Source organism: Homo sapiens, chromosome 8 (assembly GCF_000001405.40).
Source record: "Homo sapiens chromosome 8, GRCh38.p14 Primary Assembly".
Taxonomy (NCBI): Eukaryota; Metazoa; Chordata; class Mammalia; order Primates; family Hominidae; genus Homo; species Homo sapiens.
This window is the reverse complement of record NC_000008.11, coordinates 100,788,776-100,806,647: the sequence shown is the minus strand read 5'-3', so window position 1 is coordinate 100,806,647 and position 17,872 is coordinate 100,788,776. Positions and strand designations below refer to the sequence as shown.

At 43.9% G+C, this 17,872-nt stretch overlaps 1 annotated feature.

The window, feature by feature from the left end:
* Positions 16,702-17,432: an enhancer, noted in NCBI's record as "OCT4-NANOG-H3K27ac hESC enhancer chr8:101801444-101802174 (GRCh37/hg19 assembly coordinates)". NCBI's record gives its function as "activates a minimal SCP1, AML or CMV promoter by ChIP-STARR-seq in naive H9 embryonic stem cells {active_cell/tissue: H9 hESC(naive)}" and the evidence as "EXISTENCE:reporter gene assay evidence [ECO:0000049][PMID:30033119]".

Below are 17,872 nucleotides of genomic sequence, written 5' to 3'. Positions count from 1 at the left end.
GAACTAGAAGCATTTCAGGTGACCTAAGGGACTGGGCCAAAAGATACTTTACACTCTAGTGGTACATGCGTGCATGCATGCCTGCATATATGTGCACGTGTGCACATGCAGGCACATTCTTGCCGTATCTAAATCTGCCTATAAAAAACACACAAAAATTAAATGTAAAAATGTAATCTGGGAAAACCCCCCTAAGTCAGTTCTAGGATAGGCATGTGCCTGTGTGTGAATAGCACAACGTCAGCGGTGCCTGAGTCTTTAGCTCTCACAGACTCAAATGGAAGGCTGGGCACAGGGACTATGGTATATTCCGAAAGGATGGGTTGAGAATCACACTAATATTGACAAGAGGTAGGAGCAGAAATGTTGGCAGGAGTAGGCTTTCAGTAATGTTACTATTATCCCACTAACCAATAAGAGGTGGCTGGGCGTGGCAGAGGGGAGGGCCCAGGAGTAAACACTGAAACGAGGGCTTGACATTGTGAAGACACTCTGGTGGATGTATATGGGGCTTGCTGGTGTATGAGGTGGCCAAGTGCTCAGCTCTACCCTCATGAAATGGTGATGTTTCTATTCTGCTTTCATCTAGAATGCAGAATTATAGGACAGGGAGGTGCTTCTTAAGAACAGATTTTTTTTTTTTTTAATAGAGACAGCAAAAAAAAAAAAGAAAAAAGAAAAAACAGAGACAGCATCATGCTATGTTGCCCAGACTGGTCTGGAACTCCTGATTTCAAGCAATCTTCCCATCTCGGCCTCCCAAAGCGCTGGGATTACAGGCGTGAGCTACCACCGTGCCCCACCTTAAGAACAGATTTAATTATTGACAAAAGCATAAGAAATGTATCAGAACTCACTTTCTCTTGCTCTCGCTCCCTCCTCATTACTCTCAAACCTGTTTCCTCGTTATTCTTGTTGATAGAGATGATCAAATTTATTATTTTATGCGTCTGGTACAGAGTGGTTGCTCAACTGCTACTCAATGAATGAATGAAGAAATGACTCTTAATTTTCAGAAACACTCTGTGAAGCAGTCTGGGAAGTATATTGCTTTGAGACCACAGCAGACCAGCAAAAGGAGGACAATGGGGAGGACCTGCAGATCACAGAGCCCTCTGCTTCTGGCATCGGCCTCTGCTCTTTCCTGTGGACCCTTGCCTCAGTTTCCTCCCCCATGCACTGGCCGCACACTGAGCCCACTGCTCCCACATGGCCCATAAATCTCCTCCCAAACCCTCCAGCACCTCCAACAGCTGCCTCTGCCCTCAGCTTCTTACTGTTCTTTCCACCCTTTTCTGAAATCTCCTGTGCAAAGCCCCAAATTGGCTTGAGAGAAGACGCCTGGACAGCCAGGCTTGAGTCCACTTTAGCGGCAGGGGGTGGGGGAGTGGTGGGTGGAGGCTGGGAATGGCCACGAGTGAATACTTCCTAATCCCACCAAAACATGTTGAAATGTAGAGGGACAACTAATATGTATTGAGCATCTGCCCTAAGTCCAGTGCTTTACCCAAGCCATTGCTGCAATTTGGGATGGTGTGATTCTCCCCATTTTGCAGGTGAGAAGCAGAGACTTGGAGAAGCTAAGTGGCTTGCCCAGCTGTTCACAGCTAGTATGCAACTGCCTTCACTCCAGTCCCATACGCATTCAGCTACATCCTCATTGCTGGAAATAAAGGAGAGATAAAGGGCAGAAATAACTTAAGCACCAAAACCCATTTTCCATGTCTATACAACCAGCACATATTACAATATGTATACATAAAGGACTATTTGTGTGATTAGATTCTAAGGAGACCTATGTGAGTAAAGCCCCAGGTATAAAATTTTTAGCACACCACTGGACAGAGTTGTGGCCTTCCATAAATTCTTGCGGAATGAATAAATGGGTGTTCCGTGGCATGTGTTATGTATCATTAAGGAGTTCTTTCAGTGGGTCTGGCACTGTGCAAAGTGCTTTGCATTCCTTATCTCATATAATCCTCTTAATAACAGAAGAGAGATGCCATCATTTTTCCGATTTTTTACTGTTGAGGAGCCAGAGACTTAGAAAAAGTAAATAACTTGCTCAAGGTCATATAACTAATCACTGTAGAGGTAAGACTTGGTTTCAGCTCTGCCTGGCTCCACAGTCCATGCTCTGGACCTGAGCTCTCCTGCCTCCTGGGAGGAGGTGGGGTTGGCAATGCTCCCTCCCCCTAAGCCCCTCACCTCCTCCACCATATGCGAGGTGCTCATCTGCCAGATGCCTTCTCTCACCATGCACAGCTGAAGGGCCATTTTAAAGCTTCCGCATACTATGGGGAACCAGCTCAACTAGAAAACCAGGCAGAGGACAAGTCCGTGTGCTGTTGCCCAAACTGACTTGCAGGGAGTTGGTGATGAAGAGAGTCTTGAGGCCCTTGCCCTGGTTTCTCTTTCCTGCCCCAGAATATCAGACAGACAGAGCACAAGATTACAGAAAGGTCTGGCTAAGGAGGCCTGAGCTAGGGGTCATTTTTACCACTGTCTGGGCAAGCCCATTAACCTTGCTGAAACTGTTTTCTCCTCTATAGAACAATAATCACAATAACAATTGCTATCTGGTGGGGCTACTGAGACCAGGCGCAGGCAGGTTTTTGGTAACTCTGCAGCATCCTCAAGTGACTCAGTCCCAGAGGCAGGGACATGGGCGTTTTCTACCCCACACTGCACCCCATCATGAAGGGGAAGGGAGGCCTTTCATAAACCAAGTGTATCTTGGGACCTGGTGTTTTGCCTGGGTCTGAGCCCACCCCAGTGTTGGAACAGCTGCAGTGAAGGAGCTGCAGCTTCTGGGGCTGTTCTGGCTGTGGTCACCATGTGGAGGAGGGGATTTGCAGCCTGTCTGAGGCTCCTGCATCTTCGGGGACTGAGAGCATTCAGCCTTTCCTTTCTCCCCCTAGATAATCACAGATACCTCCCTCTCTACTCCCTGCACAGGCCCACCCATTCCTCCCTTCCCTTGGAGGGCAAGGCTGTACTATTGTGAGCGACACAGGGCCTTTACTTCCCTCAGAGCTGTCCTAACCATGGCAAGACCCTTTGTGATTCCATCTCCACCCTGTACAGCCAAGCTGACCATGGGTGTGTCTGCTGGGAGCAGGGGTGGGTTAGGAAGAGATGGTTGTGCCATTTCTCCCCACCCAGAGGCACACACACACACACACACTCACACACCTTGACTAGTTGCTCTTTTTGGATTTCATTCTTCACAAACTGCTGCTCAGGTAGTATATGGTTAACAGAGGCCTCTTAGGGAACACAATCTTCTGCTCTTGGCTGAGAAGTTTAACGTGAGCCTTATGGCTGAGGAGAGATAGTGCTGGCACAACATGGACCTCCCCGTAGCACACCAAGGCGTGCACCTCTGAGAGGGCATTCTACTGTTCCCTCTTGCTAAGAGGTAGATAAGTCTGGAATATCACTTGATGTTGAAAGGTAGCTCTAAAGATAAACTACATCTCTGGATAGTCATCGGGATCCCTTTGGGATCTTAGTTGACAGACAGTTGCCAACATCCCAATGGTAAGTCAGTATTTACATTTGTGTTCATAATAAAATGTATGTATATATATTCCACTTGCCCAAACAGCAGCAGCAACAGTTATAGAAGGATTCCTTATCACCTCCCTCTGCCAAATATTAGGGACTGAATCTCCCATGGCATTTCAGAGAAAAGCATAAGTAAAGCATAAGTAAAACAAAATCTCATCACCTGTTAAGTATATGTACTTCTTTATTTCTACTTTTAGGTCATATTCCTCATATTACTAGGATATATTAATATTCAAAGAGGCCGGGTGCGGTGGCTCACACCTGTAATCTCAGCACTTTGGCCGAGGTGGGTGGATCATTTGAGGTCAGGAGTTCAAGACCAGCCTGGCCAACCTGGCAAAACCTGTCTCTACTAAAAATATAAAAATTAGCCAGGTGCGGTGGTGCGTGCCTGCAGCCCAAGCCTCTTGGGAGGCTGAGGCAAAAGAATCGCTTGAACATCCGGGAGGCGGATGTTGCAGCAAGCCGAGATCATGCCACTGTACTCCAGCCTGGGCAACAGGGAAACTCCATTTAAAAAAAAAAAAAAAAATCAAAGAAATCCAAATGTGTCTTTAACATTTGATCAAAGACTATTTTGCATTTTCAGCTGGCAAAACCTTTGCACTAATGCTATCAATGTCAGTGCAGACATCTGGATATTAATACCTGATGGTATTGTGTTGGGGATAGTGACTGGTTCAAGAGAGAGGCTCAGGAAAGAAGAATATCTCATTAACAAATATCTCTTTTAGGGTACTCTTTAAGAATACTAATTTTTTTTTGCAACTTTAAGATTATCATTCTAAGACCTTATCTCAAGATTATCAGCATTATAGAATGTATAACTAGAAGGCACCTAAAATGTCATCTAGGTGGTACCTAATTTTATATATGAGTGAACTAGGATTATACCAGCACTAAATTAGAAAAAAAAAATCAGATGAAAAGGCTGTGTTTATACCTGTTCTTTTTAAAAAATTTTTTTACTTGAGGTTCAGACGGTACATGTGCTATATTTGTTCTTTAAAGTGACTCAGCATCATTCATTCATTCAACTCAAATGTACTGAGTATATTTAACCCTCACAAATGTACCATAAGGTAGGTTTTACTATTACTCATTTTACCGGTAGGTATTACCCATTTTACAGATGAGGAAACTCAGGCTCAGAGAGGTTAAGTCCAAGATCACATTTGTAGTAACTAAAGAACAGGAATTCAATACAAGCCTATCAGATTGTATTAGTTTTTTCCTGTTGTATAACATATTACCACAAATTTAGTGTCTTGAAACAACACCCATTTATTATCTCACCATTTCTATGGGTCAGAAGTTTGGGCACATTTTAGCTGAGGTCTCTGCTCAAGGTCTCATGAGGCTAAAATGATTATGTCAGCCAGGACTGCAATTTCATATGAGGCTTGGGATCTTCTTTCAAGCTTACCATTTGCTGGCAGAATCCAGTGGCTTGTGGTTGTGAGACTAAGGCCTTCAGCTCCTAGAAGCCACCCACTGCTCCTGGCATACAACTTTCTCCACAACATAGCAAATTGCTTCTTCATGGCCAATAAGAGAAGGTCTCCACTGCTTCAGATCTCTCCTTTCAGCAAAGGCCTGTATTCTCTTTTGAATGGCTCACTTGATTAGGTCAGGCCTACCCAGGATAAATTCCCTTTCAATGAACTCAAAGCCAACCTTAATTAATCTGCAAAACCTCTTCACCTTTGCTATATAATGTAATCTATTCACTGGAGTAAAATTCCATCATATTCACCACTCCTGCCTACATCAAGGGGAAGGCATGCACACCAAGGGTCAGGAATCTTTGGACAATTTTAGAATTCTACCTACCACACAGATGCTAGTGCCCATATATTCTTAAACTACATACTTCCTCCCCCAAAGCAATGAACATTGGTCTGAGCCTCAGCAGACAAACAAAAGTTATACCATGTAAGTGCAGCGAAGGAATTATGCACCAAGTGGAAAGAAGCACAGTAAGGAAAAATGGTCTACTGTGCATAGGTGGTAGGGTTGGAGAGGGGAGATTTACGGGGAGCTTCAAGAGCTGATGTTTCAACTGGATGGCCAAGAAGAGGACCACACCTTCTCACTTTTCTGTCTCCACTGCCTAGCAGTCTTGGGGCTCATAGTAGACACTCGATAAACGTCTGTTGACATGAAAGACCATGTGAGTGTCTTCTAGGCAGATTAGGGGAAAGAGCATTCTAGATAGAGGAAACATCGTGTGCAGAGGCCCAGAGATGTGAAGCCATATGCTATGTTCAAGGATCCATGAGAAGTGTCAGGCACCATTAAACATGCAAGGCAGACGATGCATCCAGAACACGGAGGGCCTTGAATACAGTGCTGAAAATGTAGGATTTTAATTTGTAAATGAAGAGGAACATACAAAGAGGGGAAAAAATCAGACTTGTGTTTGAGAAAATTAGCTTCCATGAGAGTACAGTACCCAAAGGCTGGTTTGGGATGTGGTTAGGATGAGTGGGGTGAGGATGACCCAGGGCTGTAGGAGTTAGTGTCGGGAGGCTGAGTAGTCCAGGTGAGGGAGGAGGACCCGCACTGAGGCAATGCAGTGGCATGGAGGAGAGGGATGGCTTCCGAAGCTGCTCAGGAAGCAGCATTGACAGAACTGCATGCCTGACAGGATCTGAGGGATGAAGGAATCACGGAGGATGATGGAGGATAACTCTGACTTAGAAGAAGAGTAAAGAATAGAACCATCCATTGAGCTTGAGGATTAAGAGAAAGACTAGGGTTGAGGAAGAGGCCGATAAGGTGTGGAGGCAGTGATGGCGGGAGGAAGGGTGGTGGTGGATGACAAGGACGCTTCAGGACATGTTGAGTTTGAGGTGCCCGTGAAATATCCCAACAGAGAAGTCCAAGAGAAGGCAGCTGAATTCTTAGCTCTGGAGAGCTGGTCTCCAGCTTATAGGAGGGCAATCAGGTCACAGCAATGGATAACCACAGAGGGACAGAGGGACAGAGGGCAGAGTAAGGAAGGAGGGAGCTGAGAACAGAACCATGGGTTGCAGGTCTGCATTGTCAAGGAGAGAAAACATTACCTGGAATCAAAGGTGAGAGAAGAGAGGATCTGTGAGGCTGCGAATGCATAGTTACCTCAAACATAAACAAAAGAGAAATGGGGGGATGCTTTATCATCAAAAGAAATAGTGCCCATGAAAATCCCTGTTGGGCTGGGTGCAGCAGCTCACGCCTGTAATCCCAACACTTTGGGAGGCTGAGGCAGGAGTATTGCTTGAGCCCAGGAGTTTAAGACCAGCCTGAGCAACATAGTGAGAACCTTATCTCTAAAAAAAACAAAAAGAAAGAAAGAAAGAAAGAAAGAAAGAAAGAAAGAAAGAAAGAAAGAAAGAAAGAAAGAAAGAAAGAAAGAAGGAAAGAAAGAAAGAAAGAAAGAAAGAAAGAGAAAGAAAGAACCCTGTTGGTATTTCACTGGCTTGAGTTGTAAAGAAGAAAGGGAAGGCCAGACACACCAGAGCATGTGTAATTTAAACAAACACAACTCTTAAGTAAATTAGCTAGGAGAATGGATTGTTGCAGATTTCTTTATTGGGTTAGGAAGTACTTGTTTTCACTGAAGGCTATTCTTTTGAAGAAAAAAAGAACTTTGAGTTAAAATTTATTAGTCTCCTTTGATCTCTGTAATTAGGAGATTTGACCCAAGCATTCATCAGTTTTTAATGAAAATCAGCTACTTTCCACGGTTTGTTTTCTTATAACTTGAAGAACAAAAGAGTGTTTTTCGTAAGATCATCAGGGGTGAGACAGGATTTTGTAAGAAGAGAGATGACTGTGGAAAAACAAAATTTTAAAAGGGAACAGATCCACTTTGTATTGTTTTTCTTTTCCCCATCCTCAGATGCTACCAAATAACCTAACAATACCGGCAATTGCTCTGTCCCACCAAAATTTGGATGTTTCAAAATTGCCTTCAGAAGAACAATCTACTTAATTGAAAAACTGTAGAGACAAAGTCAACCAAGTGCCTGTCAATGGATCCCAGTCTCTGAACTCATTATCCAGAACCTGTAGCCAGTAACAGTCACTTAGCCCAGGCCCAGACCAGCTGAACTGCAGAGATGCAAGTGCCAAAAAGCCAATCTCTCCCTGCTTTTCTCATCTGCCTCCCAGAATCTGATGTCTTGCTGAGTAGCTGGCCAGGTGTCCCCATTCTTAGTGACTTGGAGGAGGTGGGAGACTTGGCAAAGCAGCAGGAATACACACACACCCCTCACCTCTGTCCTCTGCAATCCCCTGAAAAACAGGCTCGTCTGCTTTAACTGGAATCACAAACTTTTAAGTTCTAGAATGAAGTAGCAGATGTTTATGTGAAACGATCCTATTTCTCTAATATTCACTCAGCAAGTAGTTGTCAAGATGGGGTTTACATATTGAAATCCATGGATGGGAGGATTGGCAAGAACTTTGAACAATGGGGTCAATGAGATGCTGAGGAGAAGCCCTGCCTAGGGGAAGAAAATGAGGCGATGGGGACACCAGTGGCTCCTGGCACCTGGATGAACGGAAACCAGAGGCTTCAAATACATTAACCAGAGCAGAAATGGAACCAAACAAGAAAACACATGAAGGTGGAAAGAACAGAAAGGGACAAACTATTTTCTTAGTGAAAATGGGAAAGTTACACACCTCCTCCTCCCAAACATGATGATGTTCTGTTTTGTTAACCTCTTTGAGAAGGTGACTGGATACAGAAATATGGTCTAGCCTATCAATTTATGAGAAACATTTATTAATCATTCCCAGTGAAAATGTATTTGGATGTCAGCTTTAAGTGGATCCTCATGAAGAAATAAAGTCAATGAAGTCCGAAAACTTTTATCTACTTTGGAAGGATGAGGAGGGTGGATTGCTTGAGCCCAGCATTTTGAGACCAGCCTGGGCAACATGGCAAAACCCCATCTCTAAAAAAATTACCTGGGTGTGGTCACGCACACCTGTAGTCCCAGCTACCTGGGAGGCTGAGATGGGAAGATCACCTGAGCCCAGGAGGTCAAGGTTGCAGTGAGCCATGATCATGCCACTGCAATCCAGCCTGGGCAACAGAGTGAGACCCTGTCTCCAAAAAAACAACTACAACAACAAAAACAAACAAACAAAAACAAACCTCCAAAACCCCCACCTCCAAATACTTTTATCTCCTGCCATGTGAAGCTTTAAAGTTAAAACAGAGGTTAAAAAAAAAAAGTGCTGGGGTACAAGCACATCAAACCAGCTCCAAACCCTGGCTCCACCACTTAGTGGTATGACCTTGGATAAGTTCCTTGATGTCTCTAAATCTCAGTTTTCTCATCTATACAGTGGGAAAAATAATATTCCAGATCCATAATCCCTTATCAGCAATTCAGAAATCCAGTAGGCTCTGAAAAACAGCTTTTTTTTTAAGTTAGCAGGAAATTCATTTGATGGTAAAACCTGACCTGAAAGATTATGAGACTTTATATAATATAGTTTTTATTTATCCCATTAAGCATGATTATCCATATGTCAGCTGCAGAAATATCGATGTCTAATGATGGATGTCACCCCAGACCTTGCTGGGAGGTGTTATGAAAAATACAGTACAGGCACAGATTTGCCCCTTAAAAACATGAACGCTTCGGAATTCTGAAACATACCTGAATCTGAACGGAACCAGGTAAGGGATTGGGACCTATACCTTGCGGGTAGTTGGAAATATGGTGAGATAATGTGTGTGAAGTGCTTGTCGCAATGCCTGGCACTTTGTAAGTGCTCAGGAAATAGAAACAATAATTTATTATTTTAAAGCACTCAAATGAATGATTCTTGTCTTGTTCTTTTCACTGTGGAATTTGCCCAGGAAACCACAAACTCTGAAGCTCTGACTCCCCTTTCAGTGTCGCCCCAAGAGCCCACACTTTTGAAGGAATAACCTCCCTGGTGAGATGCACCATGTCCCTGAGGGTGTGGTGGAGTTGTGACCCAGACCCTAAAGCCAAGGAAAAATCTCTGAACATACAACATTCAACAAGGACAAGGACAGGGAATGAAAGAAGTTCTGACGTTGGACAGACACAATTCCAAAAGTGGCATGGCTTGATGGATGAAGGCTCAACTTTGGGGCTGGAGAGACCTCGGTCCTAACTCTGTGCCATCCATGGTGGTGGAAATCCCTGAGTCTCAGTTTCTTCATGTGTAAAATGGGATAATAATACTTACCTAAAACATTTGTCATGGGATAGTAATACTTACCTAAAGCACTTTGTATGGGGCCTGGTACACAGAACATGCTCGAAAGTGAAGGCAGACAGAAACATGAACATTCCACGTATGCTGAGTGACACAGAAACCCAAGCCCGAGGTTACTACCAAACACAGTTCCGCTTTGCCCTAAATTGGCCAAAGCTCCCTCGAGGAAAGGCTAAAGCCTTAGCTTGCCTGCAAAAGCTGAGGAGGAGAAGCCAAGCAGAAGGGGCTCACTGTCTACGAAGACTTACAAACCCACGGTGGCAGGAATGGAGCCTGGGTCCTTCTCTCCCAAGAAGGTAGGCACCCTCAGCTTGCTTTGGGGACCTCTGATTCAATAGGACAGGTAGACATAATGTCAGGTGGGGGGTTACAAGGTGGTTTATGGATACATAGAGAGTCAATAAGGCTCATTCACACCCTGAATCCAGTTTTTGGCTGGATTACCAAGTCCCAGTTTGACTCTTACCCTTATAAAAGGAATAATGTTAAGGTGTACTTAGGAGGAGAAGGAGTTGTTTTCTGCGATTCAGAGTGAATCCTTTCATAAGGGAGACCTTTCACCCGAATTATTACTTTGTCCTCACATGCCCGAATCCGCACTTAAAATGAAAAGTCAACAGCTATTCATTCCTGAGGATGGCCTTGAGCTTACGCTAGCAAGTGCCTTGTTTTCTATAGTTGGAGACGCTGACCTACATAATCACCTTTTCTCCAGACCTGAGCCCTGGGACTTGAGAAACACCAAGTGTAAGACATCATCAACCCCCAGGTGTTCTGAAGCCCCACTCCTTTTCTCTTTCTTGACCATTGTGGCTGAATGTGAATCCCCACCTTTCCTGCCCTCCTGGGGACCTTAGGAATTCTGCTCCTCACTGCAGGTGAGTCACATCAGTATCTAGAACACACATTGCCATTGCCTGCCCCATCCTAGCACAGAGACTTCCCAGCCATCCTTCAATGCCAGCTCTCCGTGAACTTACCCCCATCTCTTCACAGCAGAATGGCTCAACAGGCAGGCCCACTCCATGGTTAGGTCACCAACCATGCTGGGTAACAGAAGAAGAGGCAGAGAATGAACATGGGAGAGAGAAAAGAAATTTTTAGCCAGGTGCGGTGGCTCACGCTGTAACCCAGCACTTTGAGAGGCCAAGGCGGGTGGATCACTTGAGGTCAGGAGTTCAAGACCAGCCTGACCAATATGGTAAAACCCTGTCTCTACCAAAAATACAAAAAATCGGCTAAGCGTGGTGGCAGGTGCCTGTAATCCCAGCTATTCAGGAGGATGAGGCAGGAGAATCGCTTGAACCCGGGAAGCGGAGGTTGCAGTGAGCCTAAATCGTGCCACTGCACTCTAGCCTGGGTGACAGAGTGAGATTCTGCCTAAAAAAAAAAAAAAAAGAAAAAGAAGAAATTTTAAAAATAATTTGACATTTGATTAATTGTTTAAAGCATCAAAGTATAAAATAAATATCCATGTATCCATACTGGTATCAATAAATAATTGAATAAATAAATAAATGTGGGAGAAAGGACAGCTTTTCCTTACAGAAGAATTCAAAGCAAATAAATGTATTAATAATTAAGAAAATAGAAAATCATCATTAGCCGTGTGCAGTGGCTCACACCTGTAATCTCAACACTTTGGGAGGCTGAGGCGAGCAGACTGACTGACCTCAGGTGTTCGAGACCAGCCTGGACAACATGGTGAAAACCCGTCTCTACTAAACTACAAAGAATTAGCCGGGCATGGCGGGGTGTGCCTGTAATCCCAGCTACTTGGGAGGCTGATACAGGAGAATCACCTGAACATGGGAGGCGGAGGTTGCAGTTAGCTGAGATTGCATCACTGCACTCCAGCCTGGGAGACAGAGCAAGACTCCATCTCAAAAAAAAAAAAAAAAAAGTCAAGATTGTGAGAGATAAGGGAAGACTGAGTAACTGTCACAGGTTGGAGCTGAGTAAGGACATATGACAACAAAATGCAGTGCAGAATCCTGGATTGGATATAGAAACAGGAAAAGAACATTAGTGAAAATATTAGTTAAGCCTGAACAAAGTCAGTCATCTAGTTAATAGTATTGTATGTGTGTTAATTCTGAATTTTAATCATGTACTATAGTTATGCAACATGTTAGCATTAAGGAAAGCTACGTGAAGCATTTAGGAAAACTCAATATTATTTTTACAGCTTTTCTGTATGTCTGAAATTATGTCAAAATAAAATATATTTTTCTTAAAAAAATCAGGGGCCGTGCACAGTGGCTCACACCTGTAATCACAGCACTTTGGGAGGTTGAGGCAGGAGGATCAGTTAAGCTCAGGAGTTTGAGAGCAGCCTGGCCAACATGGTGAAACCACATCTCTACTAAAAATACAAAAATTAGCCAGGCATGGTGGTGCATGCCTGTAATCCCAGCTACGCAGGAGGCTGAGGCAGGAGAATTGCTTGAACCTGAAGGCGGAGGTTGCAGTCAGCCAAGATTGCACCACTGCACTCCAGCCTGGACAACAGAGTAAGCTCAGTCTCTGGAAAAGAAAAAAAAAAGCATTGGAGTAGTGGGACCATCGTGGGTTTCCCTGCATTAGTTGAATGCTTGCATCAGTTGAATGGTTTGGTATTGTTTCTATTGCGAATTCCATATTGGGGTTTGGGGGAGATAGGATGAGGCACCAGGATCATTTCAGGGCTCAGGGCCTCTGAAAGTTGCTTTGGACAAATTGGCCTTGTTCCCAGAAAGTCACCAACCAGCTCTATTTCTCACCGAGGCCCATTTCATCCCTTCTTGGAGGCTGAAAGAACTCAAAAACATCGCCACAGCATCGCCAAACCCTCTTCCAGGATGATTCAAAGGACTTGGGATCCTTAACCCCAGGATGTGGCCACACTTTATGGTGTCCATAGGGCAATCCTAGCAGGATAGACCATTCACTTCCACTTTAATTTCAAAGACAGAAGCATGCAATGCTTGGGGGGGGCAGTGCCATTTCCTTAGGGTGATAATAGAACCGATTTCTCAGGTTCTAGGAATTAGATGAGCTAATACATGCTCTACATCATGGGTGAACTTTGAAGACATCATGCTGAGTGAAATTGGTCAGACACAGGAGGAAAAAGATTGTATGATTCCACATATATGAAGTATCTCAAATAGGCAAATGTATAGCAACAGAAAGTCAGATAATGGTTACCAGAGGCTGGAGGGAGAGGGTAATGGGGAGCTATTGTTTCATGGGTAGAGCTGCAATTTGGGAAGATGAAAAAGTCCCAGAGATGGATGGTGATGATGGTTGTACAACACTGTGAACGTACTTCATGCCACTGAATTGATTCTTAAAATTCAGTGGCATTAAGTCTGGGTGCAGTGGCTCACACTTGTAATCCTAGCACTTTGGGAGGCCAAGGTAGGAGGATTGCTTGAGACCAGGAGTTCAAGACCAGCCTGGGCAAGATGGCAAGACCGCTATTTCTACAAAAAATAAAAATTAACTGGGCACAGTGGCTGAAGCGTGTAGTTCCAGCTACTCAGGAGGCTAAGGTTGGAGGATTACTTGAGCCCAGGGGTTGGAGATTGCTGTGAACTATGATCACACCACAGCACTCCAGCCTGAGAACTAAAGCAAGAACCCTGTTTCTAAAACAAAAAACAAAACAAACCTATGCTGGGCCACCAGGTGCAGTGGCTCACACCTGTAATCCCAATACTTTGGCAGGTATTGGGTAGGAGGTAGGAGGATCCTCAAGGTAGGAGGATTGCTTGAGCTCCGGAGTTTGAGACCAACCTGGGCAACGTGGTGAGACCTTGTCTCTACAAAAAAAATAAAATTAATAATTTAGTGGCATTAAATACACTTAAAAATGGTTTAAATGGTCCATTTTATGTTATGTATATCCACCATATCACAGTTTAAAAATAAATTAAAAATAATTAGATGGGATCATAGAAAGCTCCTGTAAAACATGTGGCCCACAGTAGACACCAAATACTATTCTTTATTAAAGTTTCAGAAAATAGAACTATTATATAATTGTTTAATGTGAATTTTGGCCATGGCAGCAGCCACATATGACTTCGTACAATTAACCAAATTCTTTTTTTTTTTTTTTTTAGACAGTCTTGCTCTGTCTCCCAGGCTGGAGTTCAGTGGTACAATCTCAGCTCACTGCAGCCTCAACCTCCTGGGTTCAAGAGATTCTCATGCCTCAGCCTCCCAAGTAGCTGGGATTACAGGCATGCGTATGCCACCACACCCCACTGACTTTTGTATTTTTAGTAAAGATGGGGTTTTGCCATGTTTCCCAGGCTGGTCTCAAACTCCTGGCCTTATGTGATCCGCCTGCCTTGGCCTCCCAAAGTGCTGGGATTACAGGTATGAGCCACCACACCCGGCCACTTAACCATATTCTTAACCTCACTATGGCCTGGTTTTCAACATTTATTTTTCACTCTACACAACATTAAGACTGGATGATGAATTTTTTAAAAATATTAGACTCACATGTCCTATAAAAGCCTTTCTGTTGAAATTGTCACTGACTGCATGATTCTCAATGCTGCCATGAGAAAATTTGGCCATGGCTCTAGGTGTGACTTTACAAACATCCTTGCAACTATATCCTAATTCTATTGATCAAATTGTGTTTCTTTCTGGATTTGCCGAATCACTTTAACCCTCTCCCCACCTCCACTGACATTGCTGTCACCACCCCTACCACTTTCAGCGGACCACATCGGAGCCACCTGGGAAGGTGATTTCATCATGTGGACACAGGGGCGGAACTTGAAAATCACTCTTAGAGCTAGTATTGTCATGACATCTTACTGCCGCTGAGCGTGTCGCCAAACTCGGCTAATTTGCTGAGACATGGCTGGCATTTCATCGCGCTCATAGCTCAGCCCTTTTTTGTGATGAGGCTCCCTGCAGTACGGTGGGACTAGCTCAGTCTCTCATTAAACGAGGCTCACATGGAGGATCCGCCAAGAGTGAAACACTGTCTTGCAAAATGCTTCTTTTTATGGTTTTCTGTAGAACATTGTATTGTTCCACATTTTAGCTCTGGTTTTGTAATCACTGATTATGTAACGAATTCTGATTCTGTGCCTGCAAAATTGGTCTGTGCCACTAAAGACAAAGGCGAATGCAACTACTTTAGAACACACAGAGATTGAGGCACTCTGTCTGTGCCCTCCCACCCCCTCCGCCACCACGCTTGCTAATCTTGTCAAAGATTGGTCTCACGTTATACTACCACTTAGGGGGCAGGAGATGGGAGTGGCACAGCATAAAAACTCCTTCACTTTTGCACAAAGAATAGTGAATCCTAGGTAGTTTTGAAATGTGCAATTTTGTAAAACATCAGTTACCTCTAGTGGGGCTGACTCTGACTGCCTCAATAATCTGTAAATGCTTAAAAATCTGCGTCCTTTAAGAGTAGGATTGCCAGGTAAAATACAGGACTCCCAGTTAACTTCGAATTGCAGATAAGCAGTGGATACTGTTTTTTAGTATAAGTGTATCCCAAATATTGCATAAGACATACTTATGCTAGAAAATTACTCATGGCTTATATGAAATTCACATTTAACTGGGCATCCTCTAGTTTTATTTGCTAAATCTGGCAACCCTACTTGAGATCAGACCCTTGTCACTGTCCTATCCTGCAGGCAGGTCTGTCCTTGTGGAACTCCAATAATGCATTCTGCCAAGAAACCTGGGACAGAAAGAGGCAAATGAAGAATCTTTTTTTTTTTTTTTTTTTTTTTTTTTTTTTTTTTTTTTGAGACGGAGTCTCGCTCTGTCGCCCAGGCTGGAGTGCAGTGGCGCGATCTCGGCTCACTGCAAGCTCCGCCTCCCGGGTTCACGCCATTCTCCTGCCTCAGCCTCCCGAGTAGCTGGGACTACAGGCGCCCGCCACCTCGCCCGGCTAATTTTTTGTATTTTTAGTAGAGACGGGGTTTCACCGTGTTAGCCAGGATGGTCTCGATCTCCTGACCTCGTGATCCGCCCGCCTCGGCCTCCCAAAGTGCTGGGATTACAGGCGTGAGCCACCGCGCCCGGCCTGCAAATGAAGAATCTTAATCACGCTTGGCTTTTTGTTCTTATCTAGCTCCAAGCATCACAGATATGCATTAAATTCATAAATCAATTAAAACCTTTCATTTGGACAGCTGAGTTTTAGTTCATTTTTATCCTGAAACCTTAGCAAGCTTGGACTCCATTGAGAGGAAGGATATGGAAAGGGGAAAGAATGACTCAGGGATCAGCTGGGCCACTCAGCTGGCCACTCGGGTTGGTCACTCACCCCAAACGGAGTGGCCCAGCATGGCACTGTCACCTTAGTCTCTGTGTCTCCACTTGCAAACTTAAAGGACTGGATTCAATGACTTTAAGGCTCCTTCCAGGGCTAAAAATTCTATGATTCTGCATTCAAGAGGCCTGAAACTTCCAAGGTATGCTACTGAAAATCACAATAATAGATGAAAATTTTAAAACATCAGGGATTTTTATTTATGCTACAAAATTTTAACAAGTTACTCACCAAATTTCCATCTGAGAAGAGTACAGATCTTGACATTCTCAGAACCTTGCTATTATATTGAATATTTTGTGCAAAATTTTTACTTAATCGGTATCCAGGTACAAGATTTGCCTGTCAGAATACTCTAAGAGAGTTTTCTGCTTGTTTGTCATTCCTGAATGACTTTGGTAAAATCCAACACTCTAAATTTAAGCTGTAACCTGGACCCAAGTTATTAGTAGCTACTCTACAATCTGTATGATCTGGGGTGAAGGATCTTGGGTACTCAATAAAAACATTCTTAATCCAGGTCCAAAAACATGCTAAGGAAAAAGGCACTTAGGGGAGCACACTGCTCATGCTTTTCAAGTGATTCAACAAACATCGATTGCTTGGGATAGCCCACACATTCCCCTGGCTTCTATATTAATGGCTTTCAAATCTCTATGTCCACATTTCATTTCTCTTCTGAGTTTCAGAACAAAATTTCCAACCCCCTACTAGAAATCTCTGCCTGGATATCCCACAGTAAATCCAAAACAAACTTCTTATTATCTTCACCCCACAGCCGATCTGTTGGTTTCCTTTAACTTGGTTAATGGTATTATTATCTACCATCATTATTAGCACAAGCTGGAAATAGAGCAATTACCCCCACCCTGAATCAATGAGTACCAAGTCCACCCAATTCTGTCTCCTAAATGACTCTTAATCTATGTCCCCTTTATCCATTCCAAGGCCACTGCCTTAGTTCAGTCCTCTCACCTCTCACTGCAAGTAGAGCCTTTCCCATCCGTCCCCACAGAGGCAGAGGGATTTTTCCAAAATACAGCTCTGATCCTCCTCACCCCTGCTCCCAACAGCCCTCCACTGCCTGGGGAGGAAGTTCCAAACTTACATTTGGTGAATGTGGCCTTTTGATTTCTGACCACAGCGGAGTACTCCAATTTCATCTCCCTCCTCAATACCCTAATACCCAACAACTTGCCATTTCCCCAATCCATCATCTCCTTCCAAGCCTGCCTATACTGATCCCTTCCTGGAAATTTATCCTTTCCTCCCTCATTTTCTCCAGCTGGAAAATTCCAACTCATCCTTCAAGACTTTGCTCAAGTGTTTCCCTGGGCAGGCTTCCCTGACCAGGCCCCTGCCTCACTCCACCCTCGGCAGGGTTAATGACTCCTTCCCTTGGAATGCCTCAGTGCATTGTTTAAACCTTACTTGTCTCACTGACCCTTTGCATTACCATCGTGTAGTTTTCATCTGCTTCCTCTATTAAACTATGAACACTTTGAAGATGGGGTTTTGGTTTATTGGCTTTGTATCCCTAGGAGCCAGCAAAGGGCCTGGTACAAGGCAAGTTCTCCATAAACATTTAGAGGTGGAGATACGGGGGATGGATAAATGAAATTCAAAAAGAAGTGACATTTCTACATAGAAATTGTTGTAAGTGCTTTATCTCATTTATTTCCTGTAAAAGAACCCTAAGAGGTTCTTATAGGAAATGATTACTTCCATTTTATAGAT